Source organism: Homo sapiens, chromosome 2, assembly GCF_000001405.40.
Source record: "Homo sapiens chromosome 2, GRCh38.p14 Primary Assembly".
Classification (NCBI taxonomy): Eukaryota; Metazoa; Chordata; class Mammalia; order Primates; family Hominidae; genus Homo; species Homo sapiens.
The window spans coordinates 237,934,816-237,962,478 of record NC_000002.12 but is presented as its reverse complement, the minus strand read 5'-3'; the positions used below and the strand labels follow the sequence as shown (position 1 = coordinate 237,962,478).

The 27,663-nt window shown below is 48.1% G+C and overlaps 1 long non-coding RNA gene across 1 annotated transcript, besides 1 other annotated feature; it reads right to left on the bottom strand.

The window, feature by feature from the left end:
- Positions 1-567: 567 nt before the first annotated feature.
- LOC124908001 (uncharacterized) lies at positions 568-17,017 on the bottom strand. Its single transcript, XR_007088146.1, has 2 exons — positions 16,392-17,017; positions 568-712 (listed from the first exon to the last, which is right to left on the bottom strand). It is a non-coding gene; the product is annotated as an uncharacterized LOC124908001 (long non-coding RNA).
- Positions 20,601-21,100: an enhancer, noted in NCBI's record as "H3K27ac hESC enhancer chr2:238850021-238850520 (GRCh37/hg19 assembly coordinates)". NCBI's record gives its function as "activates a minimal SCP1, AML or CMV promoter by ChIP-STARR-seq in naive H9 embryonic stem cells {active_cell/tissue: H9 hESC(naive)}" and the evidence as "EXISTENCE:reporter gene assay evidence [ECO:0000049][PMID:30033119]".

The following is a 27,663-nucleotide window of genomic DNA, read 5'->3' as shown; positions in this document are numbered from 1 at the left end:
ACTTGAGGTAAGCTCTGGGAAGCTGGAGATGGTGCCATGAGTGTATTGCCTGCAGGCCTGTCACCTGAGTCCTGGCCTCTGTGGGCTGGCCTTGCCCTACCAGGTGCCTCCAGGGAGCTAGGGCCTGGGCTCAGACATCTCCACAATCCAGGACATAAAGGGGGCTGGTGCCCCTAACTGTAACTTTCATGTTCTCTGGGAGGGACTGGCTCTGCTTCAGTCACAGAACCACTGTGTGTGTGTGTGGGAGTGGGGTGGAAGTTCAACTGTGAGCCTCACAGAGGAGTGTTGTTGCCCAAGGAAGGGCAGGGGGAGACAATGTCCTCGCATCCCTTCCTCCCTCACCCCTGTAAGTTCAACCCCAGAGGCTTCCAGCTAGGATGTGGAAGGGGAGATGGCCTGGGCTATCTATATTTTCAGCCTGGTCCAGGGCTGGCAGCACTCTGGCCTGGGCTGGTGCAGGGACCTGGGAACCTGTGGGGTGAGGGAAGGGTCTCCCAGGCAGGAAAAGTGGCCTCTGCCAGCATCTTATTCTGCTTAGGCTGCCATAAAATACCACAGACTGGGTGGCTTACACAACAGATGTTTATTTTCTCACAGTCTGGAGGCTGGGTAGTTCAAGATCAAGGTCTGGCAAGGTAGGGTTCGTTCTGAGGCCTCCTCTTGCTTGTAAGCAGCCGCCATCTGGCTGTGCTCACACGGCCTCTGTGTGCTGGGGCAGAGAGAGAGAGAGTGGGCACGCAAGCATGAGAGCTCTCTGTTGTCTCCTTATAAGGATTCGAATCCTGCCAGGTCAGGGCCCCAGGTTAGGGCCTCATTTAACCTTAATTGCTTTCATAGAGGCCCCATCTCCAAATACAGCACACTGTGGGTTAGGGCATCAACATATGAATTTTGGAGAAACAAACATTGTGTCCCTTGCTTCCAGGAAAGCCCTGGAGGGGCATCCACTGCATTTAGCCGTCCACTCCACTCTTCCCTCCTGCCCTCACTGTGGGTGGGGCACACTCCATTCATTCCCCACTGGGGTAGGCATTCCTGGCTCCGGGCTTCAGTGGAAGATTGGCCTCCAGAGGTACGATCTGCAGTCTGGGTGAGCTGGCATCACCAAGCCCAGTGGGTCCAGTGCTCATGCCCCTTCCTCCAGACACAGTGTCCTTACCCCAGGCAAGACCTTAGCCATGTTCCAGGTGCAAGCCCTTGTTGTGTGAATTGGGAAACAGCCCAGGGGATGCTGAACTCCCGTGGGAGTAGACATGGGAGAAAGGGTGCAACACAGCCCTTGGCCAGCCCTTGCTCCACTTGTTTTGTGTTGTTCTAGATTACTCCCAGGTGTGCATCTGCCCTCCGGCTTCATCTGGTGTTCCTGGGGAGCAAGGCCCAGGACACTCAAGTGCAGGCCTGGACACATACAGGCCCCATGTCCCTGTGGAGCCTTCTCAAATCTACTTCAATCCAAATCAGGCACTATATAATAAGTACCTGTCAAGGGCTGAGTGTCGTTGGGGACAGACCCTGCCCTCCAAAAGCCTCAGCTAATGGGAGAAACTAGCATTTAGTAAACCACCACAGAATAGGGGCAGGGATACAACTGTGGCCGCTAAGGTTTGTTCCAGACAGGGGGGAACAAAGCCTCCACTGACCCACATGAGTTTAGGGATCACTGGGGAAAGGAGGGAGAGAGAACTGTGCTGACGGTAAGCCTTGCCTTAGAATTCAACTGAGGAAGCTGAAAATAAATGCCAAAAATCCCATGTCCCACTAGCTCATTCTCTTGCTAAAAGGGGAGACAGGTAAATGGTGTTTCTGTTAGGAAAAGCTTTATTGGGCCTTTTGGGGCCTGGGGTCTAACCTGGAGAGGAGGACAAAGATGAGACTACAAAGCAGCCGGAGGTGGTGTGGAGTGCTGTGAGGCTGTCTGAGGGGCAGAAGCTGAGAGGTGACACCCAAGTCCCAGTTCTGGGGTCCTCCGTGGCATGAGGGAGGGATGAACTTCCCATAGCTGGGGCAGATGGGGGCTCAGATTATCATCGTTATTATTATTTAGTAAGGGGTCATCCAGGAAGCAGACAATTGAAAATTCTAAGTAGTATAATTTTAATTACATAACTGGTATAATTAAGTTTTGCTTTTGCAACTGGCCTCCAGGGAATACAGCTTGTTTCTTTTTATTTCTTAAAAAAAAATAATACAGTGGGCTGTGATGGCTTTGTTGGAGAGGGACTGAGTCAGAGTGGTGTTTTAAATCTGATGATAGGATTGAGATCGTCATCATTCACCTACAGCAACAATGGGCTCCTTTTAATAAGGTCTGTGCATGGGGACTGGAATAGGGACATGGTAGTCCTGTGGTTCTTCCTCCTTCCTGGCTGCCCATCAAGTGACCCCAGAACTGGCAAAGCCCTACAGGACCATCAAATGTGAGAGAAGCCACCTTCCTCTGGGGGCTTTTTGGTTTTACTTTCTTGCAGAAATGGATTTAAGTTGTCTGCCTTTGTCACACTGTCTCCCATTTTGTATTGCATGTTCTTTTGGATTAGTCACTAACCAAGGTTAGTTCAAGTTTTCAGGGGTTTTATTTTATTTATTTTTGAGACGAAATATTGCTCTGTTACCCAGCCTGGAGTGCAATGGCACAATCTCAACTCACTGCAACCTCCGCCTCCTGGGTTCAACCGACTGTCCCACCTCAGCCTCCCGAGTAGCTGGGATTATAGGCACGTGCCATTGCGCCCAGCTAATTTTTTGTGGTTTCAGTAGACATGGGGTTTCACCATGTTGGTCAGGCTGGTCTTGAACTCCTGACCTCAAGTGATCTGCCCACCTCGGCCTTCCGAAGTGGTGGGGTGACAGGCATGAGCCACTGCGCCCGGCTAAGTTTTCAGGTGTTTCTATGCAGCTAAAGAAAAGTGCCACCTTTTATGGTTTAGCTCTGTTAGAGGTCTTACGTGGTAGATGTGTGTGGTATGACAGGTCACAACCATATGTGGAAGGCTGAATAATGGCCCCTAAAGATGTCCTTGTCCTAATTTCTGGAATCAGTGAATATATGACTTTACATGGTAAAGGGACTTTGCAGATGTGAGTAAATCCAGGATCTTGAGATGAGATTATCATGGATTATCCAGGTAGGGCAAAGGTAATCACAAAGGTCCTTATGCCAGGAAGGCCAGAGATCTGTCAGCAGGAGATGTGAGGATGGAAGCAGAGGTTGGGGGCATTCGAGGAAGGGGCCCAAGCCACAGAATGCAGGTGGCTTCTAGAGGCTGCAGAAAGCAAGGAAGGGGGTGCTCCCTTGAACCCTTCGGAAGGAATGCAGCCCTGTTGTTATGGGCTAAATTGTGTCCTCCTCCACATATATACATTGAAGCTCTAACCCCAAGACCTTGGAATGTGACTCTATCTAAAGAGAGGGCCCTTAAAGGTAATTAAGTTATCCAAGAAGGCTGGTATGCGAGAAAAAATTCTGAATGTAAAAAGTAAATAAATAAAAAGGTAATTAAGTTAAAAAAGAGGTCATTAGAGAAGGCCCTAACCCAATACAGACTGGTGTCCTTATAAAAAGAGGAGTTTAGTATACAGACATGCATGGAGAGAAAACCAGGTGAAGAAACAGGGAGAAGATGGCCGCCTACAAGCCAAGGAGAGAGGCCTTGGGAGAAACCGGCCCTGCCAACACCTGGATCTTGGACTCCAGCTTCTAGAACGGAAATAATTAATTTCTGTGGTTTAAGCTGCCGTGCCTCTGGAGTTTTGTTATGGAAGCCCGAGCAGACTCACACACCTGCCAGCACCTTGCTCTTAGATTTCTGACATTCAGAAAGGTAAGAGAATGTGTGTCGTTTTTGAGCAACCATTTGTGACAGCCTCCACAGGAAGCGAATGCACCGTGTCTCCCATAGAGCATTCCCAGTGGATGGCGGCTGGGGCTGCAGCCTGGGGTCTGGGCTCAGGAAGGCCTGGCTGCAGGGAGAGGCACTGCCATCACCCGAGGGCACATCAAGGTGCTTTTCACAGGCACTCAGGATGCTGGAGCCGCTCTTGCAGGCAAGTACCGTAGCTGTACTTTCATTTGGCATGGCCTCTATAGTCTTCATTGTTCTCACTATCTGACATTGTGCACTCCAGTGGGTGCTGTGTGGAAAATACCACAAAACACTTTTCCCTAAAAACCCGGCTGAAAATGTGTATCTGCGAGTTCATGGGAACGCTTAAGTGCACAAGGCAGAACATGATCAGGAGCAGCCATCCCAAATTTGGAGCATCAGTGATGGTCGGGACGGCATCCACGCTGTTTCCATCTCAGGCTGCCCCCCCGGGGTCCTACTGGGGCCACCTAAAACAGTCACCTGGCACATCAAGGTAGTCCCTTCCCCTGCAGCCACAGCTCTTGCTAGAGACTTAGGGGGAACCAACATTCCATAACTCCTTTCGAAGCCCACGTGACTAGAGTCCAGGATAATTCAGGTGATGGTGATGCTACAGGTCTTATTTGTAAAGAGGAGGAGCCACCATTCAGAATGGGCCTGCCCAGCAGAGGAACAGGTTCAAATATCCTATCAATGATGTATCGTCAGTAACAACATCCCAGAAGCAAGCTGAGTAGTCCCTGTAAGGGCCCTGGGGAATAGGTGATGGGGCATTAGTGAGAGAGTCTACACAGCTGCTCCAAAAACAAGGTAAACACACATTCCCTGCTGGAAAAGTATCCATCACACATGATAAAATGAAAAAATAAGTAGGACCAGGCCCTGTGACTCACACCTGTAATCCCTGCACTTTAGGAGGCAGAAGCAGGAGGATTGCTTGAGCCCAGGAGTTCAAGACCAGCCTGGGCAACACAGCAAGACCTAGTCTCTACAAAAATGAAAAGGAAAAGAAAACTTAGCTGGGTGTGGTGGCATGAACCTCTAGTCCTAGCCATTCCAGAGGCTGGGGTGGGAGGATCACTGGAGCCCAGGAGCTCAAGGCTACAGTGAGCTATAAGTACACACTGCACTCTGCCTGGGTGACAGAGTGAGACCCTGTCAAAAGAAAGAAAGAAAGAAAGAAAGAAAGAGAAAGAAAGCAAGAAAGGAAGGAAGAGAAAGAGAGAGGAAGGAAGAAGGAAGGAAAGAAAGAAAGAAAGAGAAAGAAAGAAAGAAAAGAAGAAAGAAAGAGGAAGGAAGGAAGGAAGGAAGGAAAGAAAAAAACTTTTAAATAAAATGGTCTGTTTGGATAGAGATAAGTCTATGAACTATTAGAAAATATTTAGCTGCATATTGTGTTCATTTGCTAGGGCTATTGAAACAAAGTACCATCAACTAAGTGGTTTAAACAACAGAAATGTATGGTCTCTTCTTTGGGGAGGCCAGAAGTCGGAATGGAGAAGTGGAAGGCTTTCCTTCTGAAGCTATCAGCTGCGGTCTGGCCTAGGCCTCTCTCCTTGGCTTGTGGACGCCACCGTCTTCTCCCTGTGTGCTCCTCCACCTCCACCTCCGGATGTCCCTTTTCATAAGGACACCAGTCACATGGGATTAGAGCCCACCTTAACGACCTCTCTCCAAATAAAACTTAGGGGGAAGCAACTCTGAGGTACTGGGGGTTAAGGCTTCAACATATGAATTTCGAGGGGACAGCAATCCTACCCCTAACCCACAGACACCAGCTGCTGCTCTGGGCGGGAACAGGGGTCTTTTCACTTCACAGAACCCTGAACCGTTTTGATTTTGGGGGGTGGAACGGGGGTGGGATGCGAGGGAACAAGCTGCCAAGCAGGGCCTGGCGGGCCGCCTGTGGGAATCCGGGAGAAACCTTTGGAAGCGGCCTGGGGGCGGGGGTGGGGTGGGGGTGGACGCAGCCCCCTCATCTGCCAGTTGGCATCTGTCCGTTCAAGGGCCCCGGCCAGCAGCCCGGAGGGAGCTAAGTGCACGGCCCATCAGCCCTCCCTAGTCTGCTGCCCCTCTGTGGCCGACTCGGCTCCTCAGACAGGGGCGGGACGGGTCCACGGCGCCCACCGACCTCCCCGCGCAGGAGGAAGCCACAGTCCCCCAGCTCCGCGGGAGGTGGGCGTCCCTCCGAGGGCTGAGTGGAGACACCGCCAGAACCAGGGCCAGGGTCAGCAGGGGTGTCCTTCCACGAGGGGAGCCCTGGGGTGGGCTGCCTGCCTGCCGGGACAGCCCGCGGGGGACGCGGAGGCGCCCAGGGGATTCCTGGGCGCTGCGGCTTGTGGGCGCAGGGGCGCCCCTTCTTGGCTCCGCCCCCACTCCCAGCTCGGTCCTTGGACTCAGCGGCGCTGCGGGGCCGAACCCTGGGGCCTCGCATCTCCGCCCTGCCGTGAGGGCCAAGTAGCCGCGCCCAGGGCGCACGGCTTCACCAGGCTGCGGTTACATGGGACCTGGTTACCCGGGCCGCGGGATCCCAGGACACGGGGCGCGGTTACACTCGGCGCGGGGCTACTGAGGGTGCGGGGGTCCACGGCGTGTGGTTAGGACTCAGGAGGCATCGCCGCCGGGGTTGGGGGGACGCCTCCCTGTCGCCCTTTGGATGGTGGGCGCTGGTGGCCTCGCCTGGGGTCCAGGGGTCCACGCAGGGGGTGGCCCAGGCGCCGCAGGTTCCCCAAAGCCCCGAAGCCGGGTCCTCCCGGGGCAGGAGAGTTGGGTGGGGGCGACACCCGGGCATTGGGCTGCGGGTGAGGCTCCGCCTGCAGGGGTCCTGGCTCCGCGGGTCCCGCAGACAGGTGGTCCTGGCTGTTCCTGGAACCCGGCGGGCCCCCTGAAGGCTGAGCACCGGCAGCGGGGCAGTGCCCAGCCTTCGAGGAAGCCCGAAGAGCTGACTGCAGGGTAGGGCCAGCCTCCAAGGGGGGCATCTTGAGGAGCCAAGGTCAGAGCAAAGCAGAGAAAAATAGTGAGGGGAAAGGCTTGGTACACTGCGGGGCAGGGCTGCCTTTGCACGGAGCGGCCTGCTACCCCCTCCCAGCCCCGTCCCACCACTGCGTACCACCTTAAAGGAAAGATTACAAAGGAATTCAGATTCCAGATGAATTGTAGCTCTAAATGTAAAAGGTAAGACTACGCTTTTAGAAGAGCTCATAGGAAAATTGTTGCATGGAGAAGGCAAAGCTTCTTTAGGCAGAACACAAAAAAGGACTAGTCATGAAGGACAAAAAGACTACGCTATAACTCAGGACCTCTCTTGATAAAACGACACCATCAAGACAATCAAAAGACAAGCCGCAGGGTGGGAGGAGATATTTGGCACACATGTATCTCACAAAGAATTCATAGCCAGAACTGTAGTCTGTAAGTCAACAAGAAAAGGCAGAAATTCCCCAAGAAAAATCATCTGATGATTTGATTGGGCACTTCACAAATGAGGTAAGCCAAATGGCAAGAAGCCTGTGAACCTGGGAAGGGTGGCGCCTGCAGTCCCAGCTACCTGGAGGCTCAGGCCGAGAGTCTCTTGAGACCAGGAGTTTCAGGCTTCAGCGAGCCATTGGCCACTCACTAGTCAGCAGGAAAAGAAACCATCTGACATTGCTTCACACCTGTCAGGATGGCTAAAACGAAAAAGATGGTAAGGATGTGGAGCAAATGCACTCTTATACACTGCAGATGGGAGTGAATATTTATACATTGGCTTTGGAAAATAGGTGGCGGCCACTAAAGTTGAAGAAATGTTTACAACCCAGCAATTTCACTCTTAGGTATGTATACATATACTCACCAAAAAAAGTACTTATTCCACAACTTAGTTCTTTAACTTAATACTATGTCTTTGAAATCTATTCATATTGATATATAGAAATCCATATTGTTCCTCTTTTTTTTTTTTTTTTTTTTTTGAGACTGGGTCTTACTGTCACTCGGGTTGGAGTGCAGTGGTGCAATCACAGCTCGCTGCAGGCTTGACCTCCTGGCCCAAGCAATCCTTCTGACTCAGCCTCCAAAGTAGCTTGGACTACAGGCATGTGCCACCTGGTTAATTTTTTTAAATTTATTTATTTATTTTTGAGACGGAGTTTCACTCTTCTTGCCCAGGCTGGAGTGCAATGGCGCGATCTCGGCTCACTGCAACCTCTGCCTCCCGGGTTCAAGCAATTCTCCTGCCTCAGCCTCCCTAGTAGCTGGATTACAGGCATGCGCCATCATGCCTGGCTAATTTTGTATGTTTAGTAGAGATGGGGTTTCACCATGTTGGTCAGGCTGGTCTCGAGCTCCCGACCTCAAGTGATCTGCCTGCCTTGGCCTCCCAAAGTGCTGGGACTACAGGGGTGAGCCACTGCACCCAGCTAATTTTTAAATTTTTTATAGAGATGTGATCTCTAACTCCTGGATTCAAGCAGTTCTCCCACCTCGGTCTCCCAAAGTGCTAGGATTACAGGTGTAAGTCACCGTGTCTGGCCATATTATTCCTTTTAATAAGTGCATATGTTATTCATTCTTAAGAATATTTTACAATTGGCCACATGCAGTGGCTCACACCTGTAATCCCAGCACTTTGGGAGGTCGAGGTGGGTGGGTGGATTACTTGAGCTCAGGAGTTTGAGACCAACCTGGGTAACATAGTGAAATCCCATTTCTGTCAAAAATACAAAAACTAGCTGGGTGTAGTGGCATGCGCCTATGGTTTCAGCTACTTGGGGGGCTAAGGTGGGTGGATCACTGAGCCTAGGAAGCCAAGGCTGCAGTGAGCCATGATTGTGCCACTGCACTCCAGCCTGAGTGACAGAGGGAGCCCCTGTCTCAAATAAATAAATAAATAAAAATATATAAAAATTGGTCGAGCACAGTGGCTTATGCCTGTAATCCCAGCACTTTGGGAGGCCGAGGTGGGTGGATCACCTGAGGTCAGGAGTTTGAGGCCAGCCTGGGCCAACATGATGAAACCCCATCTCTACTAAAAACACAAAAATTAGCCAGGCGTGGTGGCGGATGCCTGTATCCCAGCTACTTGGGAGGCTGAGGCAGGAGAATTGCTTGAACCTAGGAGGTGGAGGTTGTAGTGAGCCGAGATCATGCCACTGCACTGCAGCCTGGGCAACAGAGTGAGACTCTGTCTCAAAAAGAAATTATGTGTATATGTATGTGTGTGTATATGTGTGTGTGTGTGTATATATATATAAATTAAAAATAATAATAATTTTTTAAAAAAGAATATTTCATGATTGTCCAGTTTCCTGTTTCCATTTCATTGCTTCCAATTATTTGCAATCACAAACACTGCTGCAGCAAACACACTGCCTGGTGAAAGTAAACTGGAGTAAGGTCCAGAGGCAAAACTCCTTATCTAAGAAGCTTAGAAGTAAATTAGACTTCCCTATTATCTAAAGCCAGCATCCAGTTCCAGGCTTCTTTCCCTAAAATGTATAAGTAATTCGAATTTCTATACATCTGCGGAATGCAGATGTCAAAACTCATTGTGCAACCCTTGCTGGCAGTAAGGCAGCAAAATGTCTACAAAGGTAATCATTTATCTGTCATGTCTTACCTGGCTAATATGGTCCAAATTACCCTTAAGCTCACACTTTAAGGACCATTAATAGCCCTAAGGAAAATCCACTGCTGTGTGCTGTCCCCTCTTGCTGAAGTGCCCACTGTACTCTTCCACAGCATAGTTTCTATCTAATAAAACTTTCCTTTCCTTCCTTCCTTCCTTCCTTCCTTCCTTCCTTCCTTCCTTCCTTCCTTCCTTTCTCTTTCTTTCTTTTCTGAGAAGGAGTCTCACTCTGTTGCCCGGGCTGGAGTGCAGTAGTGCAATCTTGGCTCACTGCAACCTCTGCCTCCCAGGTTCAAGCAATCCTCCTGCCTCAGCCTCCCATGTAACTGGGATTACAGGCATGCACCACCACACCCTGCTAATTTTTGTATTTTAGTAGAGCTGGGATTTCACCATATTGGTCAGGCTGGTCTCAAACTCCTGACCTCAGGTGATTTGCCCACCTCAGCCTCCCAAAGTGCTGGAGTTACAGGCATGAGCCACTGCGCCTGGCCTCCTTTTAAAATCTATACTATTGGTAAATTCTTCTTACTACCTGAGAGTCAATCACTTTCTGTTGCCCGGCCTCTGACACCTCGCCTGGCATAAGGTAAGGAGTTTCTCTAAAGCCTGCCCCAAAAAGTGAAATAGCTGGATGATAGAGTATACACATTTTCAGCTTCGCTAGAATTGCCACATTGGTCTTTAGAGTGGCCATACTACTTAACATGCCTACAAGCAGTATGTGAGGATTTGCACTTCCCCGTAACCTCCTGGCATTGACAGGCTGATTTCAGCAATGTGATGGGGATGAAATGGTATCTGCCTGTGGCTCTCCTTTGCATATCTCTCAATGGCAAGTGTGCGCAGTTTTCCTGTTGTCTATTGGCCATTCACAATTTTCCTTCTGTGAATGGCCTCTTCATATTGTTTGCCCATTTTTCTGCTGAGTTATCTTTTTCTTATTGATTTCTATACGTTCTTTAGGCATTCTGGAACAAATCCTATGTCTAATACATAAGACTTAGTGTATATAGTACAAAATCTTCTGTTCAGTGGCTGGTTCCTTAGCTTTGTTTTTTTGTTTTGTTTTGTTTTGTTTTGAGACAGCCTCACTCTGTTGCCCAGGCTGGAGTACAGTGGCATGATCTCAGCTCACTGCAACCTCAGCCTCCCAGGTTCAAGCGATTCTCGTACCTCAGCCTCCTGAGTAGCTGGGATTACAGGCGCACGCCATCACACCCAGCTAATTTTTGTATTTTTAGTAGAGATAGGGTTTCACCAGGTTGGCCAGGCTGGTCTCGAATTCCTGACCTCAGGTGATCTGCCCACCTCAGCCTCCCAAAATGCTGAGATTACAGGCATGAGTCACGGAACACAGCCTTAGCTTTGTTTATAGTTTTCTTCTCTTTCTTTCTTTTCTTTCTTTCTTTCTTGCTTTCTTTTGTTCGTTCCTTCGTTTTTTCTTCCTTCCTTCCTTCCTTCCTTCCTTTCTTTCCTTCCTTCTTTCTTTCCTTTCTCTTTCTTTCTTCTCTTTCTTTCTCTCTCTCTCTTCCCCTCCCTCCCTCCCTCCTTCCTTCTTTCTGTCTTTTTTTTTTTTTTTTGAGACAAAGTCTCACTGTCACCCAGGCTGGAGTGTAGTGGTGTGACTGCAACCTCTGCCTCCTGGGCTCAAGTAATCTTCCCACCTCAGCCTCCCCAGTAGCTGGGACCACAGGTACGCACCACCATGCCCAGCTAACTGTATTTTTGTAGAGATGAGGTTTTGCCCTGTTGCCCACACTGGCCTTGAACTCCTGGGTTCAAGCAATCTGCTCACCTTGGCCTCCCAGTTTTTTTTTTTTTGTTTTTTGTTTTTTTTTTTTTTTTTGAGACAGTGCCAGGGTATAGTGCAGTGGCGCAATCTCGGCTCACTACAGTCTTGACCTCATGGGCTCAAGTGATCCTCCCACCTCAGCCTCCTAAGTAGCTGGGATTACAGACATCCTCCACCATGCCCAGCTAATTTTTTGTATTTTTCATAGAGAAGGGGTTTCACCATGTTGCCCAGACTGGTCTCGAATTCCTGGGCTCAAGCCATGGAATTGCCTTGGCCTCCCAAAGTGTTAGGATTACAGCTGTGAGCCCCTGGACCTGGCCTATAGTTTTTTGTTTCGTTTTGTTTTTGTTTTTTGAGATGGAGTCTCACTCTGTCACCCAGATGGGAGTGCAGTGGCTCAATCTTGGCTCACTGCAGTCTCTGCCTCCCAGGCTTAAGCAATCCTCCCACCTCAGCCTCCCAAGTAGCTGGGACCACAGACATACACTACCACAACTGGCTAAGTTTTTGTATTTTTGGTAGAGATGGGGTTTCACCATCTTGCCCAGGTTGGTCTCAAACTTCTGAGTTCAAGCAATCTGCCCACCTTAGCTTCCCAAAGTGCTGGAATTACAGGGGCGGGGCACCACGCCCAAGCCGGCCTATGTCTTTTTATTAGTTCTTTCCTACATTGCTATAAAGAACTACCTGAGACTGGGTAATTTATAAAGGAAAGAAATTTAACTGGCTGTCTCCCAGGCTGGAGTGCAGTGGCACGATCTTGGCTCAATGCAGCCTTGACCTTCTGGGCTCAAGTGATCTTTCCACCTCAGTCCCCCAAGTAGCTGGCACTACAGGTGTGCACCACCATGCCTGGCTAATTTTTGTATTTTTTTGGTAGAGATGGGGTTTTGCCATGTTTACCGGGCTCTTCTCGAACTCCTGACCTCAAGTGATCCACCCAGCTCAGCCTCCTAAAGTGTTGGGATTGCAGGCATGAGCCACTGTGCTCAGCCTTTTGTTTTTTTTCAAGTCCATCTCTGGCAAATAAGCAGTCATATTTTCTTTGGAAAAAAGCTCTTGTACTCCAGAACAGATCCAGTTTTGTGGATCTCTGTCTTGATACGTAGATGAGGAGTCCTCTTTAAGAAAGAACATTATATAAAGTGATTATACAAAGTGCTATATACTTGGCTGGGTGCCGTGGCTCACTCCTGTAATCCCAGCACTTTGGGAGGCCAAGGCGGGTGGATCACTTGAGATCAGGAGTTCGAGACCAGCCTGGCCTACATGGTGAAACCCCATCTCTACCAAAAAATATAAAAAGTAGCTGGGTGTGGTGGCATGTGACTGTAGTCCTAGCTACTCAGGAGGCTGAGGCAGGAGAATCACTTGAACGCAGGAGGTGGAGGTTGCAGTCATGCTGCTGCACTCCAGCCTGGGCGACAGAGTGAGACCTGGTCTCAAAAACCAAACCAAACCAAAACAAAACAAAACAAAAACAAAGTGCTGTATATTCAAAGAATGCAAAGTCAGGGATGAAAGTCAATATTTATTTAGAGTTAGAAAATAATAAATAGCATAAAAATGACAAAATGCAGAAAACTATAATCACATAATATATATGATATGTAATATTATTTACAAAATAATAATGATATTGTATTAGTCTGTTCTCGTGCTGCTAACAAAGACATACCTGAGACTGGGAAATTTAGAAAGGGAAGAGGTTTAATTACTCACAGTTCAGCACGGCTGGGAGGCCTCAGGAAACTTATAATCATGGTGGAGGTACCTCTTCACAGGGCGGCAATAGAGAATGAGGATCCAGTGAAGGGAGAAGCCCCTTATAAAAACATCAGATCTCATGAGAACTCACTCACTCTCACGAGAACAGCATGGGGGAAACTGTTCCCGTGATTCAATTATCTCCACCTGGCCCCACTCTTGACACATGGTGATTATTACAATTCAAGGTGAGATTTGGGGGAGGGACACAGAGCCAAACCATATCATATATATAATGTGTGACGTATATAATATTTTCCTATTTTTTTTGAAGTTTGTCATATTTGTTTGTTTGTTTTTGAGACAGAATCTCATTCTGTCTGGTGTGTAGTGGTGTGATCTTGGCTCACTGCAACCTCTGCCTCCTGGGTTCAAGCAATTCTCCTGTCTCAGCCTCCCAAGTAGCTGGGACTACAGGTGTGCGCCACTACACCTGGCTAATTTTTGTATTTTTAGTAGAAACGGGTTTTACCATGTTGGCCAGGCTGGTCTTGAACTCCTAACCTCAGGTGATTTGCCCACCCCAGCCTCTCAAAGTGCTGGGATTACAGACGTGAGCCACCACCCCCGGCCAGTCTGTGGTATTTGTGATTTGCTTTCTCACCACCAATAATATTTACTTTCATCCTTAACTTGTAGTCAAAATTGAGTATACTTTTCCTTAAAGGAACTCTCCCCACCCCAAAGCTGTATAACAAACCTCTCCAGAAGTTTCTATGGCCACGGGCCATTGTTGTGGGCAGAATAATGCCCTCCTCCCAAATGTCCACATCCTAATCCCTGGAACCTGTGAATATGTTGCCTCACAAGGCAAAAGGGACTTTGCAGATGTGATTAACTTAAAGACCTTGAGCTGGGAGATTATCTTGTATTATATGGTGGGCCCAATGTCGTCACAAGGGTCCTTATAAGAGTGAGGCAGGCGGGGCTTGGTGGCTCACGCCTGTAATCCCAGCACTTTGGGAGGCTGAGGAGGGCGGATCATGAGGTCAGGAGATTGAGACCATCCCGGCTAACACGTGAAACTCTGTCTCTACTAAAAATACAAAAAATTAGCTGGGCGCAGTGGCGGGCGCCTGTAGTCCCAGCTACTTGGGAGGCTGAGGCAGGAGAATGGCAAGAACCCGGGAGGCGGAGCTTGCGGTGAGCCGAGATCGTGCCACTGCACTCCAGCCTGGGTGACAGATCGAGACTCTATCTGAAAAAAAAAAAAAAAAAAAAAAAAAAGAGTGAGGCAGGTGTGTGAGGGCATCTTTTTCCTCTGCTCATCTTAAGTTTTCCAGCTGGGGTCCTGAAAATTAGGCTGACAAAAGACAGACTAACAAGAGAAAAACAAACAGATTGTTAGAAAGTGCAGTACACATCACTTGGGAGAAACCTTAGTGATGAGTAACTCAGAGGGATATTTAGAACTGGGTTTATGTAGGCCGGGCATGATGGCTCATGCCTGTAATCCCAGCACTTTGGGAGGCCGAGGTGGGTGGATCACCTGAAGTCAGGAGTTTGAGACCAGCCTGGCCAACATGGTGAAACACCATCTCTACTAAAAATACAAAAATTAGCTGGGTGTGGTGGCATGAGCCTGTAATCCCAGCTACTCAGGAGACTGAGGCAGGAGAATCACTTGAACCCAGGAGGTGGAGTTTGCAGTGAGACGAGATTGTGCCACTGCACTCCAGCCTGGGTGACAGCTTGAGACTCTATCTCAAAAAAAAAAAAAAAAAAAGAAGAACTGGGTTTATGCAGCATTTTAGCAAAGGAACAATACATTTTTAGAGAAGCGATGAGACAAAGGAAGAGGGTTTTAGGCTTCCAAGGGTGACAAACTGTGAGAAGGTGACCAGATGAGGGAAGCTAACAGAAGAGTAGGGCTACCTGGGCAGGTCCATCTGGATGCTGACTTTCCATCTTCTACATGGCCATAAAGCTTCCCTGGGAGAGGAAATGTATAGCAATCCTCATTCCCCAGAAGTTTCTGCTTTTTTGTCAGGTAAGAGAAGCACCAAGAAGATGTTTTTCTTCATCTACTGATTATCATTTGCCTCTAGCTCAAATTAATCTTCATGCCGGCATAGTGTATTTTGGGGTGGCATATTCCTATGAGCTACACAGGAGATCAGAGTCAGAAAGAAAGAGATGTGAAGGCCGGGTGTGGTGGCTCACACCTGTAATCCAAGCCCTTTGGGAGCCCATGGTGGGAGGACTGATTGAACCCAGGATTTCGAGAACAGCTTGGGCAACAAAGCAAGACTCCCATCTCTACCAAAAATTGAAAAATTAGCTGGGCATGGTGACATACACCTGGAGTTCTGGCTACTCGGAAGGTAGTGATCCCCTGAGACAGGGATCACTCGAGCCCAGTGGATTCATATTTCAGTATGCTATGATAGTCTGGGTGACAGAGCGAGACCCTGTCAAAAGAGAGAGAGAGAGAGTGGAAGGAAGGAAGGAAGGGAGGGAGGGAGGGAGGGAGGGAGGGTACTCTGAAGATGCTCCTCTGCTAGTGAAGATGGAGGAAGTGGCCACAAGCCAAGGAACTCGGGCAGCCTCTGGAGGCTGAAAAACACAGGAAACAGATTCCCCTGAAGCCTCCAGAAGGAATGCAGCCCTGGTGACACCTCGATTTTAGATGTTTCACCTCCAGAACTGTAAGATAACAAATGTGTGTTGTTTTCACCAGGTTTGTGGTAATTTGTCACAGCAGCAATTGGAAGCTAATATAGCCATGTGTCCATATCTGCATCTTGAACCCTTTCTTTCTTTCTTTTTCTTTCCTTCTTTCTCTCTTTCTCTTTCTCCTTCCTTCCTTCTTCCTTCCTTCCCTCCTTCCTTTCTCTCACTTTCTTTTTCCTTCCTCCTCCCTCCCTCTCTCCTTCCTTCCTTTCTTCTTTCTTTCTTTCTTTTTTTTCTTCTTTCATCTCTCTGTCTCTCTTTCCTTCCTTCCCTTCCCTTCCCTCCCTCCCTCCCTCCCTTCCTTCTTTCCTTCCTTCCTTCCTTCCTTCCTTCCTTCCTTTCTTCCTTCCTTCCTTCCTTTTCTTTCTTGACAGAGTCTGGCTCTGTCACCCAGGCTGGAGTACAGTGACACATTCTTGGCTCACTGCAACCTCCACCTCCTGGGCTCAAGTGATCCTCCCACTTCAGCTTCCTGAGTAGCTGGACCACAGGCATGTGCCACCACCCCTGGCTTGTTTTTGTATTTTTTGTAGACATGAGTTTTCACCATGTTGCTCAGGCTGGTCTCAAACTCGTCAGCTCAAGCAACCCACTGCCTTGGCCTCCCAAAGTGCTGGAATTACATGCACAAGCCACTATGCCTGGCCTATTAAGGGTTAATTGAACCATTTCTTACCCAAGTGGGATCATATTCTATGTGAGTTTTGTAGCTTGCTCTTCTTATTTTTCCAGCTAACGGCAGGTCTTGAAGGCCTTTTCTGTAAGCGCACGTAGAGCCACGTCACTCCTGTTAAAGGCTGGTGGAGGTGGTGTTGTTCATTACCTTCCTTCTGCTCCCCATGCGTCCAGCCATCTGCAGTCAGGTAGGGCCCTGTGGCTCGCTACGGCTGTTGGGTTGTGGGCAGAAATGATATGACTGGCTCTGATTTACGTGAAAGAGGGAATTAGAAGTCCAGTTTTATCATACAGGCCTAAGAGTCGCACTCAGGCACCCTGTTCCCAGGGGGCATCTGATGGGGAGACACGCAGCAGAGAGAGTTGCAGACAATGCTGGTTGCTATGCCAACATCTACCCTTCCTTTCTTCTCTGTAACAAAGCCTGGCTTGAAGCTGGGTACATCACTTGGTCTCCCTCGATGCTAAGTGTGGCCTTGTGTCTCAGGTCGGGGTGGGAAGGCTGCTCAAATGGGGATGACTCACGCAGGGGGCGCTGCTTTGCCTCCTGCACTCCCTGGGTTCTCCAAAGTGATTTTAAGAAGCAGGCACTTGACAGCCCAGAAGCTTCTCTTCATCCACCGCTTGGCTTAATTGAGGTGGTGGTGGGAGGCCACAAAGGCTGCCCAGCCCCTCGGAACCACTGTCATGTCTTTGGTTCAACCTTCCTTCATCCACGTTGCTCTAGCCAAGAGTCTTTGGTAGCAACAAACAGAGACCCATGCAAGCTTTCTTCCACTAAAACCGGGCAGTCCAGGCAGCAAACTTCAGATTCCAGAAGGCTTCAGGAATGGAAACTTCTCTCTTCTTTGGAGGCCTGCGTCGCTCCACAGCCCTGCCTCTGTCTATTGCTGTCTTACTCTCCATTGTCTCTCAAGCTGCCTCAGGATCCTTAGGTTGTTGCTTTTGCAGTTGGAAACCTCTGTGGCTGGTGGTGCCTTTGCCTGAGTTTTTGCTCAGGCCCACTTGGCTCATTCTGCCCACTTGGCCTGGCAGGCTGCACTCAGCTCGTGCTACTGGCCGGGATCTTACACCTGACAAGGGTGAGCCAGTAGCAAAGTGGAGTGAGTGTGGGGTCCAGCCACTGTGCACAGCCAGGTGAACTGGCTGCTGCTATGGGACAGGCAGCTCCAGGCACTGGCACAGGCACCAACTCTGTGCAAGGCTGCATCTGGATAAGATGTACTGCAGGCGGCTTCCTCTGTGGTTACCTATGTCTGGACGAGGGGAGCATGGTGGTGCCTGGAAGCTTGGCAATACCAGGAACCACAGAGCTCCAAAGAAGGTGTCACAGCCCTGGCTCAGGGACCCCCTATGTCTGGGCTTCCTGAAGGGCCACAGGTCTTCTCTCCTTCTTGTTGCCCACAACACGGTGAGTGGGGGGTTGGGGGGCATGTTTCAGCCCTGTTTGTGTTACAGCTCTTTCAGTCACACCATGTGGTGAGTTCTTGTCCCATGTCCAGGAAGAATGAGGTACGTTGGCAACTGGAGAGTGAGAAAGATGGAGAGGAATTTTAATGAGTGACAGAACAGCTCTCAGGAGACCCAGAGTGGGTAGTTTGTTTCCACAGGGAGGTAGTTCTGATGAATGCAGCCCTCAGCAGAGAGGAGATCCGGAGTGGGTAGCTCCTTTCTGAAGGCAGGGCATCCTGATGAGTGTCCAGCTCTCAATGGAGATGAGACCCAGGGTGGGTAGCTCCTGTCCACAGGCAGGTTGTCCCGACAAGTTGAGGAGACCCAAAGTAGGTCGTCCCTTCCTTCCTGCAGCTGGTAGTCCTGATGTCTGTGGGAGTCTGGGGTTTTTATGGGCTTAGAAGGGAGGAAGTGTGTGCTGACCGTGGGCAGCCATAGGTGGGCCTGGAAAAAGTACCATAAGTTCTCACTCCAGGCTGTGGACTCCATCTGTAACTGACAGCCCAGCCCCTAGGCTTCAGGCTGTCCCTGGCTTGAATGTGGGGCTTCACTGGGGACCCTCCTCTTCCCACTCAGGAGCCTGTCTGCCTCCTGCTGCCATCAATGTGCCATCCACGGCACCCAAGCTGTTCATGTTGAGGGGCACCTGCAGGCCCTCACTGAGCTGCCCTCAGCACCCCTTTGGCTTCCCTCCCATGCTGGTTGACACCCAAAGTCCAGAGGGGGCAAGGTTCCAGGGGGCTGGCATGTCAGCAGCATCCCAAAATCAGGCACTCAGCCAGGTCATGACAGTGCCCAGGATGGGCCACAGCTTTGCTCTACCATAGAGTGGGCACTGGGAGCAGTGGGAAGCCAGGCAGCAGGAGCAGACACTTTCAAGCCTGCAGGGGTAAGGGGCTTCCTGGGCCCCCAAGAGTGCACGGATGCCTGGGTCTGGAGCTGAGGCTGAGTGGCTGCAGCTGCGCCTGGGAGCATGGGGCTTCTGTCCTGCCGACTCAGTAGGGGCCGGGGCTCCCGCCTGTTCTGTGGAGCATGCCGCCCTGACCACACCTCCCCCACTGCAGCTGGCATTTTCACAGTGGCCTCTCCAGATGGGCCATTGCTGCCATCAAAGCCAATGATGTCTACTTGCTCCCTGTCCACATGACTGGTGTTTGCTGTGTCTCTAGAAAAAAAATGTGTCAGCCAAGAGGAGGCTTAATACCCTATGCCAGGCCCTGTGCTATGATTGGCCACTATGTTGATTTAAAAAGACAAGGTATTAAATGTACCTCCCCTTAAATAACGCCATGGGACTGGCAGTTTATGTACTTAACAGGAGCTGGGCAGGACAGATGAAAATGGAAGAGGGGAACATATATTCAGGGTAACTTGACTATATGTCTCCTGGGTTGCAGTCCTCAAATTTGGCCCAAATAAACTCTCTAATTATACTTAAGAAAGACAGAGAGAGAGAGAAAAGAAAATCACAGAAGACAAGAATGAGCTGCATACAAACTTCTTGGTTCAGAGGGGCTTCATTACCCACCATTACAAAATTAGATAGGAAACCAAAAGTCAGCTGAAAATAACCTCTGAAGAACAATCTACTTATAGCCAGGTGTGGTGGCTCATGCCTACAATGCCAGCACTTTGGGAGGCCGAGGCAGGAGGATCACTTGAGCTCAGGCGTTCGAGACCAGCCTGGGCAATATAGTGAGACACCCCCGTTTCTAATATAATAAAAGGAAAAAAATTAATATGGCAAGTGATGTTAGTGAAAATACAATAAGGAACCCTGAAATTATTGTGCATTCTAAGAAGCAACAAAACATTGGCCCAAACTGCTGGAGTTAATTTCTTGGAACTCTGGAAATTAAACAAAGACTTGTAAGAAGTCAGGAAGCACTTGATAAGAGGAAGAGCTGAAGGAAGGGCTGGAGTCTCTGTAAGAGCAGCAGGCTTTGTGGCAGTTAACTTACTCTATTCCCCTCCCTGGCTCCCCAGCAAAGCAGGAAACTTGAAAATGAGAGGCCAGTTTAGGTGCAGTGGCTCACGCCTGTAATCCCAGCACTTTGGAAGTTCGACATGGGTGGATCATCTGAGGTCAGGAGTTTGAGACCATCCTGGCCAACGTGGTGAAATCCCGTCTCTACTAAAAATACAAAAGTTAGCCTGATGGCGTGTGCCTGTAATCCCAGCTAATCAGGAGGCTGAGGCACAAGAATTGCTTGAACCTGGGAGGTGGAGGTTGCAGTGAGCTATCACGCCACCGCACTCCAGCCTGGGTGACAGAGTGAGACTCCATCTCAAAAAAAAAGAGAGAGACCAAATATACAGACAATGGCCAGGCCATATACACAAACAGAACTCTCACCCACAACCGGTAACAACAAGCCCAGGAAGGAAGCCAAACCCTTATCTGCACATAACAACTCAGGAAGCCAGCATGCTACAAGTCAGACTTGTTGGAGGTCCAATTGCTCTCTCTAGAAACAATCCACAAAGTAAAAACAATTACTTCTGTGACAATTGGCCCCACGCAGCCAGTTGACTGGTTAATAACTAGACACTTTCCTAATTTTTGTCCCTGCTTCCAGCTGAGGACCAACCAGAGAAAGTCAATTTGCTCCCCTAAGCAATCATATAGAAGCCCCATTTCTAGCGAGCCCTCCAGCTTCCCTAGGTCAACAGCCTCCAATCTGCACACACCTGAGCCTTCCCTTTTCTCCAGCACGAAGCTTCCCCACTCCCCTGCCTGCTTTTGAGTGTCTGCTGAAACACAGGAGAGTGGCTTCCTCCCTTGTCATAGCAAGCTCTGAGTAGATAAATAGCCTTTGCTTCTCTCCTTATTTCCATACAGGTAACAGCACACATCCCCAGCACCAGAGAGAGCAGAACAGACCTCATTCTCAAAGAACTGTCATTATTTGACCTGTCTTCCCTGGAAGACCAGCTCAAAACACTTTATTTTTTTTTGACCCAGAACTTTCCCAGTGTTGAAGACTTACGCAGGGAGTGTTTGTGGAAAACACTTATAGCCAAAGGCTTTAGTTGTTGCTGCCCGAGGCAATAGATAACAGTTGAGAAAAACAATAATTGAAATTCTTCCTTTAATTGGAAATGGTGTTCAAAACAAGTATTTGAGTGCTCAGTGTGCTTATTGCTACTAAGGTGTTTGTGTGTGTGTGTGTGTGCATGTGTGTGTGTGCACGTGTGTGTGCATGTGTGTGTGTGCATATGTGTGTGTGTGTGTGTGTGTGTGTGTTTGAGATGGGGGTCTTTTTATGTTGCCCAGGCTGGTCTTGAATTCCTGGACTCAAGTGATCCTCTGACTTCAGCCTCTCAGGTAGCTAGGATTACAGACTCATGCACCATTCCCAGCTCAGGGTATTGGTTTTTAAAGGCCCTTTCAGCTAGCAGGGTAAAAAAATAGAGTCATGAACCACATGACAATGTTTGGGTCAATGATGGATGATATATTTGATGGTGGTCTCATAAGATTATAAGACTGTGGAGGCTAAAGCAATTCCATCTTGGACTCTAATCCACTATGGTGACTTCTCATTAACCCCTGTTCAGGGAGGCCTCTAAGATTTCTATTTTATCTACTATTACCATAAACCCTGGCCTTGGGTCAAAATGACCTTGGCCATAAATCCTGCCCTTAGGCAGATTCACATAGCATTCTTGCCCTTCCCTAGGGATCAGCTTCACTTGTCCTACCTGTTCCTTCCCCTATGGTAGGAATGGTGTGGGGGTCCACCAACTTTTGGCTACCTGAGACATGGCTTCTCTTCATAAGTCTTTATTAAATGCTTCTTTCTGAGGAGCTGGATTTGTCAGCCTCTTCTTTAGCCCTCAGCTTCCTTGGACTTTGGGGGTAGGTTTGCATGGACTGGACTGCTATGAAGCAAATACCATGTTTTTAACTGAACTTTTCTATGTTAAGATATGTTTACATGCATGAATACCACTGTGTCCCAATGGCCTACACTCTTCAGTACAATGACATGCCGCACAGATTTGTAGCCTAGGCACGATCGGTTATACCGTACAGCCTAGGTGTGTAGTAGGCTGCACCATCTATGTTTGTGTGAGTACACTCTCTGATATTTGCACAATGACAAAAATCACCTGACACATTTCTTAAAAGGTATCCCTGACATTGAGAGAGGAGAAAGAAACAGATCAGACAGGCAGTTAGGGTGGGTCCTTGGTTGAATTCTTTCAAACAAAAGAACAGCCTGCAGGCATAGATAAGGGAACTTGCACGGGGGGCTTGCCTAAGACATGCCCACAGCTGCACTGATAAGAAAGGTGGGCGGATCACCTGAGGTCGGGAGTTCGAGACCAGACTGACCAACATGGAGAAACCCCATCTCTACTAAAAATACAAAATTAGCTGGGCATGGTGCTGCATGCTTGTAATTCCAGCTACTCGGGAGGCTGAGGCAGGAGAATTGCATGAACCCAGGAGGTTGAGGTTGCGGTGAGCAGAGATCTCACCATTGCACTCCAGCCTGGGCAACAAGAGTGAAACTCTGTCTCAAAAAAAAAAAAAAAAAAAAAAAAAAGAAAGCCTACATAGGTGACTTGCCCAGACATGCCCACAATGGAAAATTCTGTCCCCTGACACATGTGCAGTAAGGGTTACAAAGCAATATGGAGTAACTCAAGCCAAGGGCACACATGCACGTTAGGAGGATGGGGTAGAGCTACCAGAAGTTTGTGCCTTAAGCAAATGAGACACTCGGCCCTCTTCAGTTTCCTATAAAAGCCTTGGCATTCAGTTGTAAAAATGGCAACCCTCTTCAAGTCCCCTCTCTGCAGCAGAGAGCTTTCTTCTTTCACTTATTAAACTTTTGCTTCAAACTCATCCTTTGTGTCCATACTCCTCAACTCTCTTGGTTGTAAGACAAAGAACTCTGGGTGATACCTCACAATGAGAGACTGCTCCATTGTGGTGCATTGATGAGACTCTAACACCATTAAGTGACACATACCTGTATATGTGTTCATACTAACTCATGTCACATATGTAACCAGCAGCATGTATCTACAACTATTTCTATATGTAGCTATCTGCATCTATAGTAAGCTAAGAATGAATTCATACTGATGTATAATCCATCACCACATGGATCATTCTAGCTTCCTCCCCTTGCTTTTGTGTAAACACACTGAGAAATGTAGCTTCTACCATCTGCCACTGTTTACATAATTGCTCTATTCCAGTATATTTGTAGAGCAGTATCTGAATTATTAGCTCATGCCTCCATAGCAAACAACTTTATTAACTAGACTACAGTGCTTTTGTGCAATTCCTTCTGTCTTTAGTCTTAGAGGTGCAACTCATTTCCAAGTTACTTAGGTCAGCACCTTCCCATCCCCTCCACCCCCACCCCTCCATCCCCTCCAGCAAAGTTGTTGCATGCATTTGTAATACAGTTTGTTGCGTAAACCAAAAATACAATTCTAAGCCTCCCAACTGACTGAAGAGACCCCTCCTTTCTACCAAGGGGGTCCAAAGAAACCTGAAAAACTACTTCATGTGATGACAGGAAAGAGGGGTCAGACATGCCTCATTATATTCTCCTCCCTTTGGAGTTCAGGCACAACTGACCAACACTAACATTAAAACAGAGGTCTTAAGAGTGACAAAACAGACTCTTTATAGTAATAAGATACCAAATTCCAACCTGATTCTAGTATAACATCACTTGACAGATAGTGTGTTCCTGAAAGAAATCAAAATATTTATCCATATATATATATATATATATATATATTTTAGACAGAGTTTCACTCTGCCATCCAGGCTAGAGTGCAGTGGTGCAATCTCAGCTCACTGCAGCCTCCACCTCCTGGGTTCAAGTGATTCTCCTGCCTCAGCCTCCCGAGTAGCTGGGATTACAGGTATCCACCACCACACCTGGCTAATTTTTGTATTTTTAGTAGAGATGGGGTCTCACTATGTTGCCCTGGCTGGGCTCGAACTCCTGACCTCAGCTGATCCACCTGCCTCAGCCTCCCAAAGTGCTGGGATTACAGGCATAAGCCACTGGGCCCGGCCCCCAAATATATTTCTTTTCTTTTTTTTTTCTTCTCGAGATGGAGCCTTCCTCTGTCGCCCAGTCTGGAGTGCAATGGCACAATCTTGGCTCACTGCAACTGCTGCCTCCCAGGTTCAAGCAATTATCCTGCCTCAGCATCCTGAGTAGCTGGGATTACAGGTGTGCACCACCATGCCCAGCTAATCTTTGTATTTTTTTTTTTTTTTTTGAGATGGAGTCTCGCTCTGTCACCCAGGCTGGAGTGCAGTGGCGCGATCTCACTGCAAGCTCTGCCTCATGGGTTCATGCCATTGTCCTGCCTTAGCCTCCCGACCGAGTAGCTAGGACTATAGGCGCCTGCCACCATGCCCGGCTAATTTTTTGTATTTTTAGTAGAGACAGGGTTTCACTGTGTTAGCCAGGATGGTCTTGATTTCCTGACCTCGTGATCGGCCTGCTTCGGCCTCCCAAAGTGCTGGGATTACAGGTGTGAGCCACTGTGCCCATCTGGAGTTTGACTTTTTAAAATCAACAACAGTTAGATTCTCTTGTCACGGTCGGCATTCCTTCCTGAGAGCCCCCTCCCCAACCTCCTAAATTATAATATCCGTAGGAAAGTAATAGACTTTCAACTATTAACAGATATCCTGCAATATTGCTGTAAACACTGATTCATTCTAGGAGTCTTTATTCTTTGGGATTTTCTACACAGACAATCATCTCATCTGTGAACAAAGACAATTTTGCCTCTTACTTTCCAATATGTATACATTTTATTTCCTTTTCTTGTTTTATTGCACTTCCTAGGACTTTGGTATGATATTGAATCATAGTGGTAAAAGGGGATATCTTTGCCTTTTTCCTGTTCTCAGGGGAAAAGCATTCAACTTTTCTTCATTAGGTATAATATTAGTTGTAGGGTTTTTGGGTAGATTAAAAAAAAACAAACTGACAAAGTTCCCTCCTCTTTCTGGTTTTATTTACTGAATTTTTTTTATCATGGATGGGTGTTGGTTTTGTCAAATGCTTTTTCAGCATCAATGAATATGATCATATGATTTCTTTTCTTTAGACTTTTGATGTCATGGATTGCATTAATTTATTTTTGAATGCTGAATCAGTCTTGTATACCTGGAATAAATATCATTTGATTTATGTTTAATTCTTTTCATGTGTTGTTGGATTCAATTTACTAATATTTTGAGAATTTTTTTTTCTTTTTTTGAGATAGAGTCTTGCCATGTCACCCAGGCTGGAGTGCAGTGGTGCAATCTCGGCTCACTGCAAGTTCTGCCTCCCAGGTTCACGCCGTTCTCCTGCCTCAGCCTCCTGAGTAGCTGGACTACAGGTGCCTGCCATCACGCCCAGCTAATTTTTTTGGTATTTTTAGTAGAGACTAGGTTTCACCGTGTTAGCCAGGGTGGTCTCGATCTCCTGACCTTGTGATCCGCCTGCCTTGGCCTCCCAAAGTGCTAGGATTACAGGCATGAGCCACCACGCCCGGCCATTTTTTTTTTTTTTTGAGACAGAGTCTCACTCTGTTGCCTGGGCTGGAGTGCAGTGGCACCATCTCGGCTCACTGCAACCTCCGCCTCCAGGGTTCAAGCAATTCTCCTGCCTCAGCCTCCTGAGGAGCTGGGACTACAGGCGCATGCCACCCAGCTAATTTTTGTATTTTTAGTAGAGACAGGGTTTCACCATGTTGTCCAGGATGGTCTCGAACTCCTGACCTCAGATGATCCACCTGCCTCAGCCTCCCGAAATGCTGGGATTATAGGCGTAAGCCACCGCACCCAGCCCTCTGTCACCTAAATTCTGACAAATTTAGAGAATATTGATTTGAAGGGATGGCAAAGAATTAACATGCCCCCACTGCCACCAGGTCCCAAAATGACTCAGAATTCCAGGGGTGCCAAGCACATTGGGTTCCATGCAAAGCATCTTGGTGGCCCTAGGAACCTGCCCCCACCTGTTTGCCATCTTTGTTTTTCGTTTTTGTTTTTGTTTTTGATTTTTTTTTTTGAGACAGAGTCTGGCTCTGTTGCCCAGGCTGGAATGCAGTGACTTGATCTGGGCTCACTGCAACCTCTGCCTCCCAGGTTCAAGCAATTCTTGTGCCTCAGCCTCCAGAGTAGCTGGGATTACAGGCACGTGCCAACCATGCTGGCTAATGTTTGTATTTGCGGTAGAGACAGGGTTTTACCTTTTTGGCCAGGCTGGTCTCGAACTCCTGACCTCAAGTGATCCATCCGCTTTGGCCTCCCAAAGTGCTGGAATTGCAGGCGTGAGCCCCCGTGCCCAGGCTGTGTGTGCTGTCTTGATCCTGATGGTTGCATCATCAAAGAGAAGATGGAATCAAACAAAGGGCATGATCTTCTTCTTGCAATTTGGTAATCATATAAAAGTAGTAGACAGACTTCCCTGTGCTAAAGAAAACATTAATCCAAGAATACTTATTAAAGCTCAATAAGGAAGACTTCTATTCAGGACCATCGGGATCACTGTAGGGAACACTTGCAGTGGGGGAGGGAGACTGCGCTCAACTCCGACTGCAGCACCAGCAAGCAGGGACTTGTAGCCAAGGAGCAGGGTGGGGTCAGCAGATGGAAAATGACTAAGAGGAAATGTCACAGGTGACAAGGATTCTGGAGCAACTGACCTCACAGGATGCTTGCTGAAGACAGGCCAGGGCAATCAGACATCCCCTGGGGGATGGTGGGAGATGAGGAACCTGTTCAGATGTGGAGGGTGATCGGCTCTCGAGAGGGCAGGAGTTCTGGCTAAACTGATTTAGCAGAGGGTTCTTTTGCTAAAACTGGATTTTCTGAGGAAGTGCACAGAGGGGCCCAGGGGAAGGAAGGTTTAGAAGCCTAACCAAAGTATGGTCAAGCAAACAATCATTGTCACTTTTAAACTGAGTTTTTCCCCCCCCACAATTTTTTAACTGCTGAATTTTAGGTCCGTTTGTTAACTAAAGCATTTATTTGTTTAATTGTTCCTGTAAATAAGCAATATTAGACTACATGCATATGTAAAAGGACATCTCTGTATGTCTCAAAATTCATAATAGGAAAAACAAAAGCACCAAAACAAGAGGAAAATAACCTCAGCTTGTAATTTGTAAATAAATACTCCCTATTTCTTTTCCCTGTTTGAAGATAATTAATGGCAGTCGACTCTGTAGCTGGTTTTGTTTTATAAATATGTTCTTATAGGAAGCTTGTCTTTTTTAACCTTTTTTTTTTTTTTGAGGCAGGTTCTCACACTGTCACTCAGGCTGGAGTACAGTGGTGTGATCTTGGCTCACTGTAACCTCTGCCTCCTGGGCTCAAGCCATCCTCCCACCTCAGCCTCCTGAGCAGCTGCAACTACAGGTGTGCATCACCACACCTGGCTAATTTTTGTAGTTTTTTGCAGAGATGGGAGGGGTTTTGCTACATTTCCCAAGCTGGTCTCGAACTCCTGAACTCAAGCAATCCTCCCACCTCGGTCTCCCAAAGTGCGTGGATTACAGGTGTGAGCCACTGTGCCTGGCCCTATTTTAAATTCTTGATTCTGTTTAAAAAAAAATCGTGACATCTTTTCTCCAAAAAAGGAGGGAAGAAAATATTTCCTAAAAGTAAAATTTTAAATGATGTTACATTTATTCATTCATTCAAAACTTCTTTTTTAAATGAGACAGGATCTTGATCTGCTGCCCAGGCTGGAGTGCAGTGGCATGATCATGGTTCACTGCAGCCTCAACCTTGTGGGCTCAGGCAATCCTCCCACCTCAGCCTCCTGTGT